The sequence below is a fragment of the Homo sapiens genome, chromosome 4, assembly GCF_000001405.40.
Source record: "Homo sapiens chromosome 4, GRCh38.p14 Primary Assembly".
In the NCBI taxonomy this organism is placed as follows: domain Eukaryota; kingdom Metazoa; phylum Chordata; class Mammalia; order Primates; family Hominidae; genus Homo; species Homo sapiens.
In genome coordinates, this window is record NC_000004.12 from 177,650,611 (window position 1) to 177,674,982 (window position 24,372).

General features: G+C 36.8%; 1 long non-coding RNA gene across 13 annotated transcripts in view; it reads left to right on the forward strand.

Annotated features, from left to right (window-relative positions):
• Positions 1–24,372, forward strand: part of AGA-DT (AGA divergent transcript) — a 255,397-nt gene that overhangs the window by 208,097 nt on the left and 22,928 nt on the right. For 2 of the 13 annotated variants that reach the window (NR_183780.1, NR_183785.1), the window contains one exon: positions 19,879–20,091. The exons of 10 other annotated variants lie outside the window; for them this stretch is intronic. This is a non-coding gene — a long non-coding RNA (AGA divergent transcript). Of the gene's footprint in view, positions 1–1,612; positions 1,681–19,878; positions 20,092–24,372 lie in introns of all 13 variants that reach the window. One more of the 13 variants, NR_183787.1, reaches the window with a different exon arrangement.

Genomic DNA, 24,372 nt, shown 5'->3' on the forward strand with positions numbered 1-24,372 from the left:
CATGTGCCATGTTGGTGAGCTGCACCCATTAACTCGTCATTTAGCATTAGGTATATCTCCTAATGCTGTCCCTCCCCCCTCCCCCCACCCCACAACAGTCCCCGAAGTGTGATGTTGCCCTTCCTGTGTCCATGTGTTCTCATTGTTCAATTCCCATCTATGAGTGAGAACATGCAGTGTTTGGTTTTTTTGTCCTTGCAATAGTTTGCTGAGAATGATGGTTTCCAGTTTCATCCATGTCCCTACAAAGGACATGAACTCTTCATTTTTTATGACTGCATAGTATTCCATGGTGTATATGTGCCACATTGTCTTAATCCAGTCTATCATTGTTGGACATTTGGGTTGCTTCCAAGTCTTTGCTATTGTGAATAGTGCTGCAATAAACAGACGTGTGCATGTGTCTTTATAGCAGCATGTTTTATAATCCTTTGGGTATATACCCAGTAATGGGATGGCTGGATCAAATGGTATTTCTAGTTCTAGATCCCTGAGGAATCGCCACACTGACTTCCACAATGGTTGTTAAACACTGAGTAGGGAAGCCAGTCTCAGAAAAAGGACAATGTACTCATACACTGTTGGGAAGTCATTCTCATCAACGGTCAAATCATTTGCTGATGTGAGCCACAAGTTACCTTTTCTGTTGTACATAGGAAGAGACTACTATTAGTTAGATATTGACTATTTCCCAAGGTCTAGAAGATTGAATAATAACTTACAAAATTGTTCTAATATAGTTTTTAAACTAGTACTGTTCTCTAACCACAATCTTAAATTGCTCAGTAATTTCCAATTTTCACTTACATGACAGCAGTGTGGATGAAGCTTTTATAATTACTGAGCTACTACAAATAATCATGTTTTTTGTCACAGAAATAAGATGATTGAAATTCAGCATTCAGCTACTAGTTGGAAAATACCACTTGGCTTTTATAATTTAAAATATTCATAAGTACAATGTATAATTTTATTTTAGATATTAATCATAAACTGATTCATGAGGACACTTATAAACCTTGAATGGGCAGTATTTATGGCATTGTAGTTATGAGCCCAATCACTGTATATTAGAGATGTGAGCTCAAGTCCATTATTTGAATTCTCTATGTCTTAGTTACTTCATATAAAAAGTGAGAATAATGGTGTCTGTTTTCTAGAGTTGTTGTGAATATTAATTGTAAATCTCTTAAAATGGTACCTGACATTCTATAAGCAGCATATAATTACAAGCTAATATCACAGAGAAGCTATATATTTAATCAAATGTGTAGCATTATTTCCAAATATTGGAGAAATGGTAATTTTCATTATGAATGATTTTATATACTCTCCATCAAGTTACTGAATTACTAGAACAAAGTTATGACTCTTCCTTTAGATAATTATTTTTTCCCCTCCTCTGGCTATAGTTTACTTAAATTACTTAGAACTCCTTTTAGTAACAGGCTGACTTCTAACGTTGGTAAGAAACTATCATAACATGTTATTCAGAAAATATCAAAACTAGATATTTGTTTTTAATGGAACTTGTTCAATGTGTCAATTATCTGGAATATTGTTATCTAATATATGTGTTATGGGTGAACACAAATAAGATTGCCTCTTCCAGGTTTATCAATTTATATTTGGGATATGGAGACTGGAAGATGCAAATTAGGATAATACACCAAGCAGATGGTAAGTAAAGAAACCAGTCTACAGAGAAAGAACAAGGAAACAGACAGACAGAAAAATAGATACATACATAGCACCGTTATGAGAGGGAGAAAACTGTCCAAGTGTTATTTTTCTTCCTTTAAAGCCCTATTGTATTGTACATAATATAATCATATGTATGTATACATATATACACATATCTTAATTCATATATGTAGTAGGCTGAGAGCCCATTTCTGATGATGACGAACATATTGGCTCTCTTGAACAGCAACTTCTTATTGGTCAAGCAGACAACAGTGGAGAGAAGCTGACACTCTTCATTTCTTAGGGAAGAAACAATACATGCCAAGACATAATGGTATAAGAGCAAATTGTGTTTGCGGGAGTAAATTCGTTTCTAAGTATAAGATGCCAGGGTATGTCTGGTGCAGTGGTCAGAGATGATGCTGAAATGGAGGGCAGAAGCCGGATCATGAATGACCATGCTTTCCCCACTGAGGAGTTTGAATTATATTCTGTAGGTGATTTGCGTCGCTAAAGGATTTGTACTGGGGGGATGACATAATCAGATATTTGTTCTAGAGGTTGACATTTGAAATATTCATATATGATAGTCCAGATATCATGTTCAAGCAAAACTCATGATTCTCTTCTGTTCCATTACACACAGAAGTGATGAAAATACACCTTGACAATGAAACTTAAAAATAGTCATCAAGGCCGGGCGCGGTGGCTCACGCCCGTAATCCCAGCACTCTGGGAGGCCGAGGTGGGTGGATCACAAGGTCAGGAGACCATCCTGGCTAACACGGTGAAACACCGTCTCTACTAAAAATGCAAAAAGAAATTAGCCAGGCTTGGTGGTGGGCGCCTGTAGTCCCAGCTACTCAGGAGGCTGAGGCAGGAGAATGGCGTGAACCTGGGAGGTGGAGCTTGCAGTGAGTCAAGATGGCACCACTGCACTCTAGCCTGGGCGACAGAGCGAGACTCCGTCTCAAAAAAAAATAAAAAAATAAAAACTAAAAAATAGTCATCAACCCATGCAAGAATTAACTGAAAAATGGGTGGGGCTGGAATAACATGACCCTTGGCTATGCCTACCTTGAGGGAAATAAGATAGACACCAGATTTTTACTTATCTACTGTCTAGCTGGGGTTAAAGTGAATGCATAAACTAAAAAACATGCAGGCACTCACAAAATCTCTTGTGAAATGGGAAATGAACAGAGTAACATATTAATCATATTAATATACTACCTCCTATGTATGGTGTTTTTTTTTTTTCCCTGATAGAGAATTGTGATTAAAAGAGTTTGGGGACCACTGATTTTATTTTGCACTTATTCCTGTTTTAAAGTCTTAGAATTAGACAAAGGTCAATAGTACAATATAGTCACTGTAGAATGATCCTGAGGTAATTATTGGATACAGGATTAAAGATAGTAGTGCAACAATTTACTTCTGGCTTTAGATTTGAGAAAAAACTTTTCCAGTTATTACATGGAGTTGAGAATTAGGAGTGGGCAATTAGAAAAAAATTAACATTATTTTGCTGGCAAAAGTCAGATCTAAAAAAAAAATCCTAATTCAAAAATCAGTAAAGAGATACCAAACAAATGTTAAATATGAATAAAGATAACTGTAATAAAGTAAAAATAAAATCTCAAGGGAAAAAGGGATTGCTGTTTTCTAGGCAAAATTTAAGAAGAGACCCTTACCTAGAGATAGATTAGTGGTGTCTTCAATCTCAAGAAAAAGAAAAAAATCCTATTGGCTCTCAAGCAGAAAAGTAACAATAAGAAAACTCTGGTTACTTTAAAAAATTTATAATAATAGTCTTCTATAACATAAAATTCCAGAAGACAATGGAACAATAACCAATGATAACATATTGAGAGAAAACAGTTTTTAATCAAAATGTTGACAGTGAAGCAAGTTGATGTTTATTGTAAATGCAACAACAGAAAAAATAACTTTCTCAGAAATCTAATGGCTTCCAGGATGCTGGGGTAGCGGCAGTAGAGTGACTGATTCCAAGACTTACTCCTACTGAGAAACTGGCTTAGAGATAAATACAACTGAATAATTCAAAAACACGTACTTCAGTTTGAAAGAACTACTCATGAGCACTGAAATAGTAACATGAAATGACAAATCCAATCCTCTTCTGTTCTCATTTGACTGCATAAAACAAAAGGGGAATATTTATGATTCCTTAAAATACAATAATGATTGTTTAGTTTGATATTTCAAGATTGAATTCATGAAAAATAGAAGTGGGTGAGATGAAGAAAAATAAAAGATATTTTTCCCTCCAGCAAGAAGGAAAAGAAGGTCAATATTTTGGTGTGTTTGTTTAACTTTCGTATTAGGAGAAGTAAATTCATGTAGGTTTTGAAAAAACTTACAGACAAATAACACTGGAATTTTTTAAAGTTTGACTTTCAAGTCATTGCAGATAATGGATGTAATAATAGCTTAGTACACATAATTATAGACTGAAAATAAATGAAACAATTAGGAAGCCTGATAAAAAACATAAAACAAGAAAACAGAAATATAACCAAGGTCATCAGTTATTGCTCTAAATGTTAATTGATAAAGTCCCCTATTGTAACAAAATGCTCTGAGATTGTATTATAAACAAAAACTAAAGGAAATTCAATTATATATTGCCCATAATGGAAAAACTTAAAGCATAGTTACACTTAAAGTGTTGAAAGAATGGGCAAAAGCTTATTAGACAAAGAAAAGGAAAGATACACCTCAATTTTATTAGTGATGGACAAAATAGAATTTGAAAGAATAAAAAGTAATATATTGATATTATATTTATATTGAGAAAAGGTACATTCCACAGTAAGGCTGTAATATTAATGAGTCTCATTAAAATGTGAACCTTGGGAATAGAGATTATCATCAGGGCCAAACACAGTGACAAGCGCATGGAACAGATGCTTATTAAATAAAATGGACCAAGGATAGTAATTTTTTGTTGCTAAAAGTTAATAATAATCACTCACTCTTTGGCTCTGTATGGAAGGGATCATGAAGCTCTTTTATGGGCCTTAGTTCCTTCAGATACAATTCATAATGAAGACAATCCCATCATAAAACTGTGACAAATAATAGAGCAGCAAAATGTTTATGACAAAAACCATCAAAAATCTAAAATAAATAGATAACACACAATTACTGGAAGAGCTATTAGTACATCACTAATTAAAATACTATGAAATATATAAAATATGACAAATAAAGGATTTGAGCAATGAAATTAATAAAGCATAATTAATATATACCATATTTTGTGCACTACAAATAGAATACACTTTTAAAAATGTGTATAAATTTAAAGGGTACAAGTAGAGTTTTGTTGCATGGATATATTGCACCATGGGGAAATCTAAGCTTTCAGTGTAACCATTACCTGAATAATGTGTGTTGTGCCTATTAAGTAATTTCTCATCCTTTACCCACCCCCCTTTCCCCCTCCTACCTTTCTCAGTCTCCAATGTCTATTATTCCACACTCTATGTCCATGTGTGTACATTAGTTATCTCCCATTTATAAGTAAGAATATGTGGTATTTGAATTTCTATTTCTGAGTTGTTTCACTTAAGATAACAGCCTCCAGCTCCATTCATGTGGCTGCAATATACATTATTTCATTCTTTTTTATAGCTGCATAGTAATTCATGATGTATATATTCCACATTGTCTTCATCCAATCATCCTTTCATGAACACTTAGATTGATTCCACATCTTTGTTACTGTGACTAGTTCTGCAATAAACATCTGAGTACAGGTAATCTTTTTGATATAATAAACTATTTTCCTTTGGGTAGATATCCAGTAGTAAGATAGTTGTACTGAATGGTAGTTCTATTTTTAGTTCTTTGACAAATCTCCATATTGTTTTCCATAGAGGTTGTACTAATTTACATTTCCACCAATAGTATATAAGTGCACCCTTTTCTATACATCCTTGCCAACATCTGTTATGTTGAGACTTTTTAATAATGGCCATGTGGAGATTGACGTAAGATTATATTTCACTGTGGGTTTGCGTGTCTCTGATGATTAGTGATAAGTATTTTTTCATAAGCTTGTTGGCAATTTGTATGTATTCTTTTGAAAAATGTCTTCATATCTTTTGCTCACTTTTTAATAGTGTTACGTTTTTGTTGTTGTTGAATTGCTTGAGTTCCTTGTAAATTCTGAATATAAGTCCCCTGACAGATGCATAGTTTGCAAATATTTTCTTCCATTCTGCAAGTTGTTAGAGTATGTATTTTAAATAAATTTGAATAAAAGAATGAGTAGATGAATATATTGTGTGTAGAGTGGGTTCCATTATTGAGATAGTAAGTGTGAGGTTATGATCAGTTTTAGAACACCTGTTGAGACCTACTGCTCAAAAAAATTCCTTTCAAAATATTACTGTTCATTGAGAATGCACTTGGTCGCTCAAAAGCTCTGATAGAGATGTATGAGGGGATTAATGTTGTTTTCATGCCTGCTAACACAGCATCCATTCTGTAGCCCATGAATCAAGGAGTAACTTTGACTTTCAAGTCTTTTTACTTAAGAAGTGCATTCTATAAGTCTGTAGCTTTCACAGTGATTCCTCTGATAAATCTGCAAAAAGTTAGTTGAAAAACCTTCTGGAAAGGATTGACTGTTCTAGATGTCATTAAAAACACTCATGATTCATGAGAGGAGGCCAAAATATGAACATTAATAAGAGTTTGTAAGAAGTTGATTCCAATCCTCAGGGATGACTTTGAGTGTTTCAAGACTTCAGTGGAATTAGTCACAGCAGATGTGGTGGAAAAATAGCAAGAGAATTAGAGGTAGAAATGGAGCCTGAAGATGTGACTGAATTGCTGAAATCTCAAAATAATACTTACATAAATGAGGAGCTGCTTTTTATGGATGAGCAAAGAAAGTGGTTTCTTGAGATGAAATTCACCCCTGGTGAAGATGCAGTGGGCTTTTTTTTTTTTAATGACAACAAAGAATTTAGAATATTTCATAAAGTTGATAAAGCCATGACTGGGATTGAAAAGACTGACTCCAATTTGGAAAGAACTTCTACTGTGGGTAAAATGCTATCAAACGGCATCACATGCTACTGAAAAATCTTTCATTAAATAAAGGGTCAACTGATGCAGCAAAGTTTATTTTTGTCTTATTTTAAGAAATTGCCACAGTCACCCCAATCTTCAGTAATCACCACTCTGATCAGTCAGTAGCTACCAACATTGAGGCAAGACCTCCCACCAGCAAAAACATTACGACTTGCTGAAGGCTCAGATGATCATTAGCATTTTTTACCAATAAACCATCTTAAAATTAAGGCACGTACATTGTTTTTTAGACATAATGCTATGGCATAATTAACAGACCACAGTATTCTATAAATTTAACTCCTATATATTAACTGAGTACCCCATTTTTTTCTAAGAGAAATGTGTTTTTCATTATATTCTTCTTCTTTTCTCTTTTCTCCTTTTCCCCTGTTCCCTACTTCCTATTTCGCTCTTTAGAAATACAGTTATAACCTTTACCTTCTCTTCACAAGACACTTACTACAGGACAAGCTTATCTAACTATGTACTTACTTAGAAGCTCCAGAGCAAGAGCTCTTTCCCACCAGGAGATTGCCTCAAGAGACAACAGTCAATTTACAACTGATGTGGTTTGGCTGTGTCCCCACACAAAGCTCACCTTGAATTGTAATAATCCCCATGTGTCAAGGGCAGGACCAGGTGGAGGTAACTGAATCTTGGGGGCAGTTTCCCCCATACTGTTCTTGTAGTGAATAAGTCTCATGAGATCCGATGGTTTTATAAATGGGAGTTCCCCTGCACACACTCTCTTGCCTGCCACCATGTAAGATGTGCCTTTGTTCTTCCTTCACCTTCCATTATGATGGTGAGGCCTCCCCAGCCATGTGGAACTGTGAGTCCATTAAACCTCTTTCCTTCATAAATTACCCAGTCTTGGGTACGTCTTTATTAGCAGCACGAGGATGGACTAATACAAAAACCTAACATATGCCCACCAGAGAAAACTCTGTCCCACCTGGAAAATATCTCATACAATGTCCACTTTATAGCCTAGTTCTTCCCCTAATGGTGCCAACTCGACCACCCAGGAGAGAAGGCACTGAAGTGAGTCACATAGATCCCCACCTGCTCACTGCCTCCCCTGCATGCTGTTCACCAACTCCTGCTTTTAAAGCCCCTGCGTTCTGTCCCAAAGGAGAAGTAGCACCCTCAAAGGCAGGAGCCTGTCCCTCTTCCTTTAAGCTAAACTTTGAGATAAAAAGTCGCTTTTGGTCAGATGCCTGTAATCCCAGCACTTTGGGAGGTCTAGGTAGGTGGATCACTGGAGGTCAGAAGCTCAAGACCAGCTTGGCCAGCATGGTGAAGCCCTGTCCCTCCTAAAAAATACAAAAATTAGCCGGGCATGGTGGGGTATGCCTGTAGTCCCAGCTACTTGGGAGGCTGAAGCATGAGAATTACTTGAACCTGGGAGGCAAAGGTTACAGTGAGCTGAGTTTACGCCACTGGACTCCAGCCTGGGCGACAGAGTGAGACTCTGTCAAAAAAAAAAAAAAAAAAACCAAACCATAAAACCAGTCACTTTCTTTATATCAGACCTCACTCTTGCTAATTGGACTGCAAGCAGCCAGTCACTGAACCTGAGATTTAGTTACATATATACACTGGGAAACCAAAATTTTGTGTGACTCACTTTATTATGATATTTGCTTTATTGTGGCAATCCAGAACAGAAACTGCAATATTGCTAATATATGCTTATATCTTATTCTGTTCATAATTCCGTTATAGTGTATCTAAAGTATATCTTTTCCCACTTTACCTCAAGAATTAAGTGAATTCATTTTTGTTTCTATTTCTAAGTGTCCATCTGAAATTAGCACAACTTGGAGTTCATTTCATTCAGGGACAAAAACAAAACAGTTTGTAGGGAGAAAGGCAAAGGGCTTGTCTCCTGACTACCATCCTTGTTACTGGAGATTGCAGAGAATTATCACCATAACTGGAGCTGGAAAAATGGTCTCATCCATTGGGAAATGTCTAGAAGAATCTGTTTGACATCAAATTTTTTCAATATTTTATCCCAGAATTTGTGCCTTCTCCTTTTAGTTCCAACTCTTTCCCCCTTCCTCCAGAGTATTCATTTGTCAAATCCCAATGCTTTTTATAACTGAAGTTATAAAGGACTCTGGTTAGACAATATTATTATAAGATACTGGAAAAATAGTGTAATACCTGAGGTATTTTCTGTCCTTAGTGTGTTTTTTGTGTGTTGGTTGGGGAAGGATAGGTATATAACACTAAAGTCTGAGTATTCTGGCCTTACAATGTAATCATAATCGAGTCATTCTCAATAGGTATCTTCTTTTTTTATTCCAGATAACTACTTCCACTCACAATGAGATGAATTGTCTTTTTACAGAATTTAGGGATTCCAAGTTGCCTGGTTTTAATATAATACATATTCACAAAATTTACACAGCTCATGCATACCATAACTTATACAGAGAACAGTTTAGCAGTCTGCTTAAAATGTTAAAAAAAAATCATAAAAAGCCATTGTTCTGTTACACATAATCTGTACTGAAGTCATAAGCATCATCCTCTTCAATGATTTTATCCAAGATAAAAGACCTTGTAGACTCAGTGGCCCTGTCTCAGAACAATTAAATAAGAGTTTCTGGGAGCCAGTCACAGTCATTGCTATATTTTAGCCCCTTCTTAGATGATTTTCCGTATAATTAGTTTTAAGAACTACACCTTACATTACAGACTTTAGAAATTTCATATTCTTATTCTTTGTTTCCAGGTCAACTGTAAATTGAGTAGTTTTGTGAGTACTTCTTTCAGATGCCTATAATTTGAAAATAATTCTATAAACTATGACGCTGGGGTTTTGCTAAAAATAAGCATTTGCATATCACTTTTATGATCTAACATGGTATATCCAAGCCTGTTCAGAGTTTAACATTAATTTCTAATGGTTCTCTTTTATAGAATTTAACTTGTGAATTTATTAAAATATACTAAACTTGCTCACCCTCAGGGTATGTGAGAATGAGCTTCTGCATTCCTGGGAGCAAATTGCAGATCAGCATTTTTAGTGCTGCCTAAGACCCTTTGTGTGTGTGTTTTTTAAAATTACCAACATAGATCAAGTTTATGTTAATTGTATGAAAAAGCAACAGAAATAATCAGTAACATTTACACAACTTTAAGTAGTTAACCTAGTTCTGAGGCAGCAGAATTATTAAATAGTCAGCACCTTAAAGTAGGCAAAACATGTAATGAAGCATTTCTTTCTACTAGCGTGTTTTTCTTTCTGCAGGCATGGTTGAGTATTGAGGTGTACATGTTGGGGTTGTAGTGATGTGGTTTAAATCAAATTTATCTCAACTTAAACTAAATATGTTTCTTTACATATGTTAAGCAGTCTTCTGTGAGTGACTTCTTTCTTCAGAGGTTCTGTGCAGCTCTTAAAAGGAGTAGAAAGATCACTAAAGTGACAGCATAGAACAGGCACAAAAATTGCCTTGTATACAATTGCACACACACACAAAAAGAACAAAATAGCTGTATTTTAAAAACTTTATAAGAAATCAACATTTATTAAGAGTATACTTCTATACTTTATTGACTGAACAATAGCTCATCTTTTTCTTGAGAAGAAAGCTCCTGAATATTGTGGAAAATAAAACAAATCTTAGAAACAAGTTACTATATACTGCCTCAGGGGCTGAGTAGCATTTTCTGTCTAAATGACACATTACTGTGCATTATCACATTGTTCTTCCAAATAAATCTGTGGTTTCGTCAATGAAAGGTGAGTAATAGGTTCATTTTTTTTCTTAAGATTTTAGAAGGAACATAGATCTAACTAAATACTACCAGCATTATTAATGAAGATCTATGATTAATTAAAAGCCTATGGAGCTTTAAAATTACCACTGGCTACTCGAGAATTAGAGCGGCCCCTCCTGTTCTTACTCTACTCTTTCTCCCTCTCACCCACCTCCTGATGACCTTGTCACTACACTGGACCTTTCATCATTGATCTGCTATTACCAGACTCTTACTCTAGCACGTTTTGTTTTTTTCTGTCCCATCACCATTCCAGAGGTTTTTCTCTTAAACACAGATATACATGTCCTTAGAACATTATAGACCCCAGTGAAAGCTTATTTTACAATTGTGGTAAAAAGCAGATAACATATAATTTACAGTCTTAAGCATTTTTAGGTGCATAGTTCAGCTGTGTTAAATACATTCACGTTGCTGTGAAATAGATCTCTGGAACTTTTTCACTTTGTGAAACAACTCCCCCTTTTCCCCTGGTCACAACCAATTTCCTTTCTGTTTTTAAGCATTTAACTACATTAGATAGCTCACGTGAATCACACGGTATTTGTCTTTTTGTGACTGGTTTATTTCACTTAGTAAGAACTTTGTTTTTTGTCCTGCGTGATGGGAAGCTATTAGATGATTGATATGGTTTGGCTGTGTCCCCATCCAAATCTCATTTTGAATTGTAGTTCCCACAATCCTCACATGTCGTGGGAGGGACCTAGTGGTGGGAGGTAATTGAATCATGGGAGTTGGTTTTTCCTGTTCTGTTCTCGTGATAGTGAATAAGTCTCATAAGATCCTGATGGTTTTATAAAGGGCAGTTCCCCTGAACACACTCTTGCCTGCTGCCATGTAAGACGTGACTTTGCTCCTCATTCACCTTCTGCCATGATTGTGAGGACTTCCCAGCCATGTGGAATTGTGAGTCCATGGAATCTTTTTTTCTTTATAAATTATCCAGTCGCTCGGTATGTCTTTATTAGCAGCGTGAGAACAGACTAATCCAATGATCTTGAGCAGGGGAGTGACAGAATCTGATTTACGTTTTTAAAAGGTCACCCTGATATTGTGAAGTGTGGGTGATTTTGTGAAGAGATGATGGCAGCTTGGATCTGAGTGGTAGTGGCGAGTCAATGAGAAGTGACTGTATTTCAGTTATATTTTCAATGTAGATTAAAGCTATTAAGGTTTTGCCATTACTTTCAATAGCAAAAACTGCAATTACTTTTGCACCAACCTAATAAAAGTCACTGATGAGTTGGATAGGGAGGTTGGATTCATAAGCCTGTGTTCTGTGTAGCTGGGAGAGTGGTGGTGCTGCTTCCTAGGATGCATATGCTCCTTAGAAAGGGAGTGGAAGAGACTGAGGTGTTTTCCTTTGCACATTAAAGAGTAAAAATTGCTGAGACCAGCTCGGTCATGGAAACCGAGGAATTAAAGACATACACACAGAAATATAGAGTGTGGAGTGGGAAATCAGGGGTCTCACAGCCTTCAGAGCTGAGAGCCCTGAACAGAGATTTACCCACATATTTATTGACAGCAAGCCAGTGATAAGCATTGTTTCTATAGATTATAGAGTAACTGAAAGTATTCCTTACGGGAAACAAAGGGATGGGCCGAAATAAAGGGTTGGGTCTGGCTAGTTATCTGCAGCAGGAACATGTCCTTAAGGCACAGATCGCTCATGCTATTGTTTGTGGTTCAGGAACTCCTTTAAGCGGTTTTCCACCCTGGGTGGGCCAGGTATTCCTTGCCATCATTCCAGTAAACCCACAACCTTCCAGCGTGGGTGTCATGGCCATCACAAACATGTCACAGTGCTACAGAGATTTTGTTTATGGCTAGTTTATGGCCAGACATGGGGGCCAATTCCCAACAAGAAAAATTGTTCAGGTAGTTGGATTTAGGAGACTTCACAGGGTAGAAATTGGGGTCAGAGATGTAAATTTGGGAATCATCAAAATATAGAAAACATTTAAAACCTGGATCCTGGAGAGAGTCTAGTTAGAGAATAAAAGTAGTCTGAGGGCCGACCCCCGGCCCCCGGCATTTGGAGGTCTAATCTGCACTGAACGCTCCGTTTGCCAGCATGCTGCTCCAAAGTCGTGCTTTATCCCTTCCCAGGGACCCTGAGAGGAAATTTTAAGCATAACTCCACTTACAAAATATCAAGAAATTATTCAAAATTAATTATATTATCTGGTACATGATTTCCTACTCACATTCTTAAGTGATATTCAGAACACCCTTCTGAATGGTGATATACTCTCTGTAAGATAACTTTTTTTTTTGAAATAAACATCTGTGTATTTACTGATTCAAGGAGCAATTCCTCTCCTTGCTTAGACTGATGTGTGCTTATTTGCAATGTTGAGATTTTATAGTGTAAGGATAAATTCAAATTAAAAATAAGAGACTTAATTCTTTCTGTTGAAAATAAGGAAAAAGACTTCTTCCCACTCTCTTTTCTCAGATAATTTAATTTAGACCACTTGTTTATTCTTTCTCTGTCTTTAAAAATATATTTCAATCTTAAAAAGCTAAAGAATCTCTGGAAGCTTCAGGACCCAGGAATGTTTTGCTTGAGGATCTGAGAACCATCTCTTGAAAATGTAATCATCCTCAAGGAAAAAAGTGTAACTGGACCTAAGTCCAGCAGTCCACTACCCAAAAGCCAGTCTTGAGAGACAAGGTTTGGTGGAAGGAAAAATCGGATTGAATCAAGTGCCAGAGGGCTTGTGAAGATGCTGAACTCAAGTCATAAAGACCATCTCAAATTTTAAAGTTTATCATAAGGTTTTAAAAGGGAAACTTGATATGGGAGACATGCAGGACTGGTGCAGAGTGTAAGGTCCGAGTGTCTTTTTCTGCTGGCTATCTTGGGTACTCGCCCATCTGAAGATCTGGTTGGCATTATCTTGACTTTAGCCCAATGATGGTGGATTGATAGTTCACAATTCCTCCTAAAGAGAATTCTACCATTAGGGCTCCATGCCTTGTTTCAAAAGATTAGTCTTTTGAGTTTCTTAAGGAAGAAAATAATTAAGTGAGTGTGCATTGCTGGGGCGGGGGGGTAGGGGAGTGTCTAGAGAGGTAAGGAATGAAGGGGTGAGGGAAGGAAAGGAAGAAAAAGAGAGTAAGTGATTTAAAAATGCATTTTTAAAACTGAGGTCCCCAATTACAAAAGTACACCGACCTCCCAATTTCTGTGGGAGGGTAGGAACCTGACATTGGTAGGCATCTCACTCCAAGTTGCAAAACTACTGCTTTTCATAAAGATATGAGAAGTTTGTTTTTCCTTTGGATAAAGCCAAAGGAAACACAGATGGCCAGCCCAATGACCAAGAATCCAGGATGAACTATGTGTTGTCACATATGTCACAGTGGTGCTGTGAAGTCCTTTGATTTGAGGACTAGTTATTGTTTATCTTGGGAACATATATGTAATGGGTTGTATCTGCTTGGCTATATAAAATGAGATTTCTTTCTGTTTTTGCAATCTCTTAGCAATTATTGTGATGCACATCATGTCCTGGTTTAATGCTATTCAATAATGAAATTATTTTTTCTTTTCTATCTTATTGGAGCAATTTTCTGGGTTGGCAGAAGAGTTCGTTTTTAAGTATATTTCTTTAACAATAGTTTTAAAAGTGTGAAGTTGGAACCAAATATTGTTTTAACAGATGAAACGGAGGTCCAGGGAATGTTACTGACCTATCAAGGCTGACAAAGCTGATCAGAGCCATGTTTAGAAGCAGTAGCTTCTACTTTCAACATAGTGCGCTTTCTGTACTCCATGACTCTTGTCCACATTCAAAAGCTTAATTGTTTTTGAGTGTTCCCAATATGCATAGCTAATAAATCCGGGGTAATAGTTTTTTCCATGCTTCACTGGAAGCGAATCAGCATGATTTGACTTCTAAGGTTATTGACATTTTCTAAGTGATGGCTGCTCACTGTAATGTGTACGAACCTATTTAACAGAATTAATGAAAATCTAATCATTTCTGCATTTTGAAGATGCTGAGTTAAGAGAAAGAGAGAAAAACAAAGAGGGGAGCAAAAGCACTGCAAAGATGAATTGATTTATGAATATCACCCTAGCTATTCCAATAGGATATGACATGAAACATAATTATAAGATGAAAACATACATGTGTATTAATCTTAATGAGAGAAATTCAGAGAACTGATGCATAACTACAGGATTGAGAGCTAACAAAAATAGAGAGTAATAAATGTTTTACTCCAGTAGTTTTGACTACTCAGGGGAAATAGATTTGGAATAAAAATGAGATGTGCAAACCAATCTAACTTGTACCAATATATACTGTAAATTAAAAAAAATTAAACAGCCAATTTCTAAACTAGCATAGATGAGAATAAAGAAATGTGAAGGTCTGTTGAATCAATCTTTCAAAAGACTGTGATGCATAAAAAATTGTGCTTAAAAATTTACTTCCATGAAACAGATTCTTAAAAAATATCAAAGGAAAGCTTCTAACCTGCAATCAGGGTACTTAAATTTAGATTAGAAGAGGCAGTTGATGCTCTTTCAATCCATTTTGCTATTATTATGCACGCTAAAGCATTAGAAGGAAAAGAGTTAATAGCTGAGGAGAAGGGGGGCAGGTTTGAACTGAATGATTACCCTCATTTTAATGTGTGAACTTGACCAAAGAGTAAAATATTTGGATTTTTGAGGAAAAAGGGCATGCAGGAACAGGAGAGATAATAACCTCACAAATGATTTCACCAAAGTGTTCTATATAATTTACTATTGCAATATTTGTTTTTCAAAAGTAGTATCATGTATCAAAAGAATGATGCTTATTTCTTATCAGTCTGATCTTTGTTAGATAAAGCAAAAACAGTGATGTGCAGAAACTCTTCAGTTTTAATTTGCATTTGAATGTAAGCAAATTGATTAGTATTACATTCACCTATTTTGCTACTTATAAAGTGGTTTTGTCTTGTGTAGATCTGTATGTCTGTAATTTAAATGTTATTTTAAACTCCTAAGTTTCATTTGTAATTCAAATTTGCATTAATTTACTGAACGTATTGTTATGGGTGGGTCTTTGTTCTTAGAGCTCCCAAGATGGTGGTAGTCCGCTCCCAAGATGGTGGTGGGCTGCTCCCAAGTTGGTGGCAAGCCTTTTGTTCTCTGACCTGAGGTTCTTGGCCTCACAGATTCCAAGGAATGGAACCTTGGGCCATGCGGTGACTGTTATAGCTCTATTAGAAACTAAGGGTCACAGAGGAGAACTGTGGAACCCAGCGACTAGTGTTCAGCTCGAATAGGACGAACCCGGGTGCTTAGCCATGCAGGAACAATGGCAAGCCTCTAGCCCAAATGGGAGGGGCAATGGGTGCCTCACTGGATCAGAAACACAGCAGACACCCTGCTGGGTCTGGAGGGGTGGAAGTCAATGGCGGGTCTGTGATGGCTGCAAACAGCAGTGGTGGACAGTGAGGGAAGGCTCAGCTCCAGCAGGAACACAGACCAGAGAAGCATGCAGTTACAAGATTTAAAAGAGTGAAAACAGAGCTCCCACACAAGGGGAGGGGACCCAAAGGGGTTGCCCACTTCCGGCTCGAATGCCTGGGGTTTATATCCCAATCATTGTCCCTCCCCCGTGCTCTCAGATGATAGATGATTTGACTATTTCTTTACCTCCTGCTTTTAGCCTAATTGGTATTTTAGTGAGCCCTCTTTACTACCTGATTGGTCAGGTGTGAGCTGAGTTACAAGTCCCGTGTTTAAAGGAGGGTGCGGTCACCTTCCCTAGCTAGGCTTAGGAATTCTTAGTCGGCTAGTCCTGTCTCTCAGTATCCCAATAAATTGGTGACATATAGAGGTGTGAAGTTTAAAAGAGTAAATCATATTTTGTTTAGACTTGTTATTTTGAACATTTATTACTTAACAGAGTTGGAGGAAGAAATGAACTATGAAAATACTTTAAATATTTGAATGTACTAATGCCTTTAAAATTATTTTATAAATCACAGAACATCCATTTTGATAATAGATACTCTAACACAAAATACCAATTTTATTGTAATATTGGTAGTGGCAAAATACTTGCTTTGCCATTTAAATAAAATTTAAAGTAAGCCTGCATCCCAGAGTCACATTTTAATAATTGTAAACTAGCAGAAAATAAGAAAACATGATTGAAGCAATTGCATAAGACATATTGAGAGAATGCACATTCAGCTATGGTGTACATGCTTATTACAGGAATAGAGGCCGATTTTAGAAAATGGAGAACAAATTAAGTAAAAAAACAAAAAAACAAAAAAAACTTTATACTCACCAAGTATAGCCATCATAGCATATTTGCATTATATATATTTCCTGTCACTATTTTTTCTATGCCCAAATTGTGATTAAACTCTAAGTACAATTAAAATGGTTATTTTCAGGCCAGCCGTGGTGGCTCATGCCTGTAATCCCAGCACTTTGGGAGGCCAAGGCAGCTGGATTGCTTCATCTCAGGAGTTAAAGAGACCAGCCTAGGCAACATGGCAAAACCCTGTCTCTGCTAAAAATGCAAAAATCAGCTGGGCATGGTGGCAAGTGCCTGTAATCCCAGCTACTTGGGAGGCTGAGGAAGGAGAATCACTTGAATCCGGAGGCAGAGGTTGCAGTGAGAGGAGATCGTGCCACTGCACAGAGGGAACGACAGAGGGAGACAGAGCCGGGGCGACAGAGGGAGACTCTGTCTCAAAAAGAGAAAAGAGTGATTTTCTAGCTTGATATTATATTGTAAAAATTGTCTCATGTCATTAAAATCCTTCAAACATCTGTTTATACTGCCTAAAATAGTCTTTTGTATAGATGTGCCATAATTATTTTTTGATTATTGAAATTTTGACTTATTTACATTATCTTCTATACACAAGATTATGATGAAGATTTTTTAACATATTTTTATGTTTAAATGTGTGATGATATACTTAGGAATAAGAATAATTAAGTTAAATTATATAGGGATTTGTAAGTATTTTGATACAAACTGTTGAATGCTTTCCAGATGTTCAAACGAATTTATATTCTGTACCAACTTTTCAACACAAAATCATATTTAAAAGTTATTTTCCATATGTTAAAGCATCAGTTTCTTCATTTGCTGCAACAACTACAGAAATACAGTATTAAATATATTCATTAAACAATTTTTTTGTTTAATTGCTTATTCATTATTAGATTTCCCTATTTTTCACATTTATTTTAAGAGAGTGTATGTGTGTGTGTGCTTATGTGTCTGTATATGAGAGAGAGAATACAATATTAAACTTGGCATTGAAAAATAACCTTCCAATTAAAAAAAAATGTTAATTTATGTTCTTTTTGACATTAAGAAGGTTTAGTTATTTTTCATTCAGATCTATCAACATTTTCTTTAATAATTGCTTTCGTTTTTTAAATAATTAACAAATTGCTTCCAATTTAGCAATAAATATTTCTTTATTTTTTAAATAATTTATTTAAATATTCACTTTTTTGTCTATTTGAAACTGATTTTGGTTTATGGCATTAACACTACTGATTACTATGTTCCTTCTCCATTGGTTCATGATAGTTCTTTCAGCATGAAATCAATGTTTATAACCATTAGAGTCTATTTTATGGAAGTTTACTATATTCCATGAATTTGCCTGTTAAATATGATATTGTAAGAGGTTGTTATTATACTGATTGATTATACTGTGTTGTTTTATATAGCCCAATTTTAATTATTTTATAGCTTATAATTTATTTTAATATCCAGAAAGTCATGTCACTTCTCATTACTCTTTCTTTTCCAAAAATCTTAGCTATTATTGCCTCTTTATTTTTCCAGATGAAGTTTATAGTTTTTTAAAAAAGATGAGAAATAAATAATTTGTTATTGTGTTGGAAATATAAACTATTTAAAAAAGAACCACAGTAGTTGATCTCCTCATCCAGACTCATGGTAAATCTCTCCATTTATCAAAGACTTACTTAGACTTACTTATTATCTCTGAGGAAAAGTTTCAGGGTTTTATTTATATATGCACATAGCTTGAAGATTATACCTAGACATTTTATGTTTTTCTCTTTCTGTTTTTTTTCTGAACTTAGATGAATTTATGTATTTGCGTATAAGAAATGACAAAATGTTATTTAAAAATGATTAGCAACTTTCAAAAATGGCATTTTTCATATTGGCAAGCTCCAGGTGAAACTGGTATAGTCATGTGTTACGTGGGTGCTGAGGTGGGTCGTAGTAACTGCTAACACTTATTTAGTGCTTACACTTTGCTAGACTTCATCTTAGCAGTTTCTTTTTTTTTTGAGATGGAACCTCGCTCTGTTGCCTAGGCTGGAGTGCAGTGGCTCACTGCAACATCCACCTCCCAGGTTCAAGCAATTCTCTGCTTCAGCCTCCCGAGTAGCTGGGATTACAGTCGCCCGCCACCATGCCAGGCTAATTTTTTTGTATTTTTAGTAGAGATGAGGTTTCACCATCTTGGCCAAGCTGGTCTTGAACTCCTGACCTTGTGATCAACCCGCCTTAGGGTCCCAAAGTGCTGGGATCATAGGCGTGAGCCACCGAGCCCGGCTAATCTTAGCATTTTCTAAGTGTAGTGTCATTTAGACTAAGCAATAGCAATATAAGGCAGGCACTGCTATCACAGAAAGTTCAAATTCAAGTAAAATAACCCAAGTTTAATTAAGTGGTACTGCTGCCAGAACTCAAAACTAGGCAGTCTAACTCCACAGTCTGTGCCAGTAATCATTAACTTTTTGTTTTTTTATTATAATAGTTTTATTGAAATAGAGTTTATACACCACAAAATTTACTTACCTCAAGTGTACAATTCAATTGTTTAGTATATTCACAGAGATGTGCAATTGTTAATCAATGGTAGGACATTTTATCACCCACCAAAAATGACCTGTACCTATTAGCAGTCATTCTGCATTTTCTCTTTAGCCATTTCCAGCCCCTGGCAACCACTAAACTACTTTCTGTGTCTATGGATTTGCCTATTCTGGATGTTTCACAAATAGAATAATAAAATATATGACTTTTTGTGACTGGCTAATTTCACTTAGTATGATGTTCTACAGGTTCACCCATATTGTAACATGTATTAGTACTGAATACTCTTTTATAGACAAATAATATTCCTTTGTATGATTAAATCACATTGTTTATCTGTTCATCAGTTGATGGACATTTGGGGTTTTTCTATTTTTGACTGTTACAAATAATGCTGCTATAAACATTATTATTATTACTATTATTATTATTTCAGATGGAGTCTCACTGTCACGCAGATTGGAGTGCAGTGGCACGATCCTGGCTCACTGCAACCTCTGCCTCTTGGGTTCAAGCAACTCTCCTGCCCCAGCCTCCTCAGTAGCTAGGACTACAGGCCTGTGCCACAATGCCCAGCTAATTTCTGTATTTTTAGTAGACATGGGGTTTCACCGTATTGGCCAGGCTGGTCTTGAACTCCTGACTTCAGGTAATCCGTCTGCCTCGGCCTCCCAAAGTGTTGGGATTACAGGAGTGAGCCATTGCGCCTGGCCTATAAACATTCTTGTTCAAATTTTTTGTGGCTGTATGTTTTTCCTTTGGTATATACCTTGGAGTGAAATTGCTGAATCATATGGAAACTCTATGTTTAACATTATGAGAGATTGCTGAACGGTTTTCCAAAGCACTGCACTATGACACATTTCCATCAGCAGTTTCTGAGGGTACTGTCATATTCTGTTTGTGCTGCTATAACAGAATACCTGAGACTGTTCTAATTTATGAAGAACAGAAATGTGTTTTCTCACAGTTCTGGAGGCTGGGAAGTTCACGATCAAGGTGCCGACGGGGTTAGTGTCTGGCGAGGGTAGCTCCCAGCTTCCAAGATGGCACCTTGTTGCTGCATACTATTAGGGGGAGGGACGTTGTGTCCTCACATGGCAGAAGGCAGAAGAGCAAGTAAGCAAGCAGGACTGTGCAAAGCCTCCTTCGTAACAGCCTTATTTCCATTCATGAGGGAGCTCTCCTGGCCTAATCACCTCTCTGAGGCTCTACCTCTTAATACTATCACACTGGCCCTTAGTTGCAACACCTGAATTTTGGAGAGGACACCTTCAAACCATAGAAGGTTCTAATTTCTTCACATCCTCCCCACCAAAAACTGTTATTAGGTGGCTTTTTGATTATATATATTTTCTTGGAAGAGTAAGTTGGTACCTCCTAGTGGGTTTGATTTGCATTTCCCTAATGACTAAAGATGTAGAGCTTACATTTTGCTTACTCACCATTGTCTTATTTCTGTTTGGGCTGCTATGACAAAGTACCTTAAACTGAGTAACTTATAAGCAAAAGAAATGTATTCATTTCTTACAGTGATGAAGACGGGGAAGTCCAAGATTAGGGTGCTGGCATTACCTGGTGAAAGCTCTTGTTCTCACAGACAGAGTGCCTTGTAGCTGTGCTTTTACACAGTGGAAAGGGTAGACAAGCTTCTTCAATCCATTTTTATTTTTATTTTTTGAGATGGCTTTCATTCTTGTCACCCAGGCTGGAGTGCAGTGGCGTGATCTCCGCTCACTTCAACCTTCGCCTCCTGGGTTCAATTGATTCTCCTGCCTTAGCCTCCTGAGTAACTGGCATTATAGGTGCCTGCCACCACACCTGGCTAATTTTTGTCTTTTTACTAGAGACGGGGTTTCACCATGTTGGCCAGTGTTGTCTTGAACTCCTGACCTCAGGTAATCTGCCCACCTCAGCCTCCAAAAGTGCTGGGATGACAGGTGTGAGCCACCATGCCCAGCCTTCAACCATTTTTATAGTCACTAATCCCATTCATGAGGGCTCTGTCCTCATGACCTAACCACCTCCCAAAAGTCCCCACTTCCTAATACTATCACTTTGTGGCTTAGGGTTTCAACATGTGTAATTGGAGGGCGACAGAAACATTTAAACCATAACAGCTGTCTGCATATCTTTGATTCAAATTCTTTTCCTATTCTTTTTTTAACTGTGTTGTCCTTTGTTGAGTTGTCTTTAGGATATTTTCTGCCATTTTGTGTAATTTTTCTTTTTACTTTTTTGACATCATTTATTGAAGGAGAAAAGTTTTTAATTTTTATGAAATCCTAATTTTTCTTTTGTTGCTTGTACTTTGATGTCATATCAAAAAAGCCTTTGTCTAACCCCAGGTCACAACAATTTACTCCTCTATTTTCCAGTTTTAGTATATGTGCTGCCGAGGCAAGCATTACTCCTCTATTTCTTCTAAGTGTTACATTTAAGACTCTGATCCTTTGTATTTTTATTTTTATTTTTTTGAGACAGAGTCTTGCTGTGTCGCCCAGGCTGGAGTGCGGTGGCGGGATCTCGGCTCACTGTAACCTCCGACTCTCTGGGTCAAGTGATTCTCCTGCCTCAGCCTCCTGAATAGCTGGGATTACAGGCATACACCACCATGCCCAGCTAATTTTTGTATTTTTAGTAGAGACGGGATTTCACCACCTTGGCCAGGATGGTCTCCATCTCCTGACCTTGTGATCCGCCTACCTCGGCCTCCCAAAGTGCTGGGATTACAGGCGTGACCACTGCGCCCAGCTCAACTCTGATCCATTTTGAGTTAATTTTTGTGTAGCGTGTGAGGAAGGAGTCCAACTTCCTTCTAATGCATCTGGATGTCTGGTTATCACAGCCCTATTTTCAAACCAGGATTTGATGTTGTCAATAACTAGTCCAGTGTCCTTTATCATACATACATGAATGCATACACATACACTTACATCCTTTAATAGCTCCTGATTTCTCTTAGTGTAAAGGTGTAAATCTTTACCATGATTTACAAAGATCATCCTCATGCCTGTCAAATTACATGACTGCAAGGGACCATTCACCTCCCGGGCTTCATTTGGTTTTTTAGCTCTTGCCGCCATTGTCATCAATTAGATGCCTAAGAAATGTGTTTTCTTTCACTACTGGATCTTTGCACATGTTATGCCATTCTCATGAAATTTTCTTTCCTTTTTTTCTATTTTAATCACTCACACTCATCCCTCAGAGTTCCCCTCAGTTGTAATTTCCTTAGGTAAGCCTGTTGGCATTCTTCCTTAAGTCGAATCTCCCTAGAGCACTGGTGTACCTGCCTGTGGCTGTATTAAAACAAATTAAGCTTACTTTTGAGATTTTTAAATTTTTTTGTGTCTCCCACATGGGCTTATGTAGTCCGGGACCATGTTAGCTTTTTCACTTCATTATATTTCCACACCTGGAACTCTGTCGGGACCCTAGTTAGGCTCTATTAATATGGATTAAAATAATGAATGAGAACACCTCCTCTATGCAGCAGTTGTGGAATTCTTTGTTAGGATTAGGGTGGTCTTGTTTGCATCTGCTGTTTCCATAATTTTTTTAGAGCAACAATTTACTGAGTGTTTGTTGTGTGTTCGACACTGTTCCAAACGCTTTAGATGTAGTAGTAAACAAAACAAAAATGTCTTCACTCAATGGAACTTATCATGGAATACAGATCATAGGTGATAAAACTGAGCATAATATATAAGTAAGCTATACTGCATATTTGAAGAATACACGGAGATTTGAAAATGGAAAATTAGAGCAAGTTAGGGAGTTTGGATGTAGGTAAGGAGAGTTGCAGTTTTAAGTACTTTGGTTGGGGTAGATTCTGTTAAGAAGGTGACAGTCAAAAATGTGAAGGAGGAATTTAGCTTTACAGATACATTGGAGAAGAGGGGGATTTTTTTTTTTCCGGGCAGAAGGAACAGTTAGTACAAAAGGCCTGCTGCTGGAAGCACATTTGGTATTGGAGCAAGTATGAAGAGGTCATTGTGACTGGAGCCAAGTGAATAAAGTCATCAAGAGAGCAGTAGAAGAGGGATTCTGAGATGTAAAAGGTGGGGAAGGGAGTGTAGATTATACATACTCTCTGAGGCCACAAAAGGAATTTGCCAAGATTGATGTGGAAAAATATTTCTGGGTATTTCATCAGAGTGGCATGATGTGGCTTATACTTAAATGATCATTCTGGCTGCTGTGCTGAAGATAGACTGCAGGGGATAAGGGTATAACGAGGCGGATGAGTTAGGAGGCCTTTGCTGCAGATTACCTAGATAATACCAGGGGAGCTGTTGAGAAGCGGCTGGATTCCAAGTATATGGTAAAGGTAGAGCCAAAGGGTTTTCTGATGGATTGGATGTTGTCCTGAATCTGTAAATATCATTTTTAAGCTGGTCCAAATCACAAGTCAATCCATGAAAGGTTGCTTCTAAAATGTTGAAAAATTTTCATTCAGTTCTACTAGTTATTAACTTAATATCTAGAATGAAAATGTTATGAAAAAAACCTAAACAAGCCAAAAAAATACCCAAAAAACTGAAAACCCAAAAAATACCTCCTCCCTAAAATGCTTACTTATTTCTTCAACTGAATGAAAACCCACTGATTTTTTAATAACATTATGCACATACTCTAAGATTGGCAATAGAGGAAATATTTTCTTATGCAGAAGCAAGATTCTAGTCATCTCTCCACACTACCCTGACTTAATTTTTTTTTTTTTTTTTTTTTTTAGAATATTACCACTGTCACTGTCTTCTTGATTTCAGGAAAGTTGTTTCTTCCTATTTAACCTCTGGCCTAAGAGGAGGAGGTTGGGAAGACACACTTTTCTTAATTCTTTTTAGCAACGTATAGGCCAGGTGAAAATATTTCAGTAAGACTGAACTAAATGTTTGGAGAAGACAAGAAAATATAAAAACAT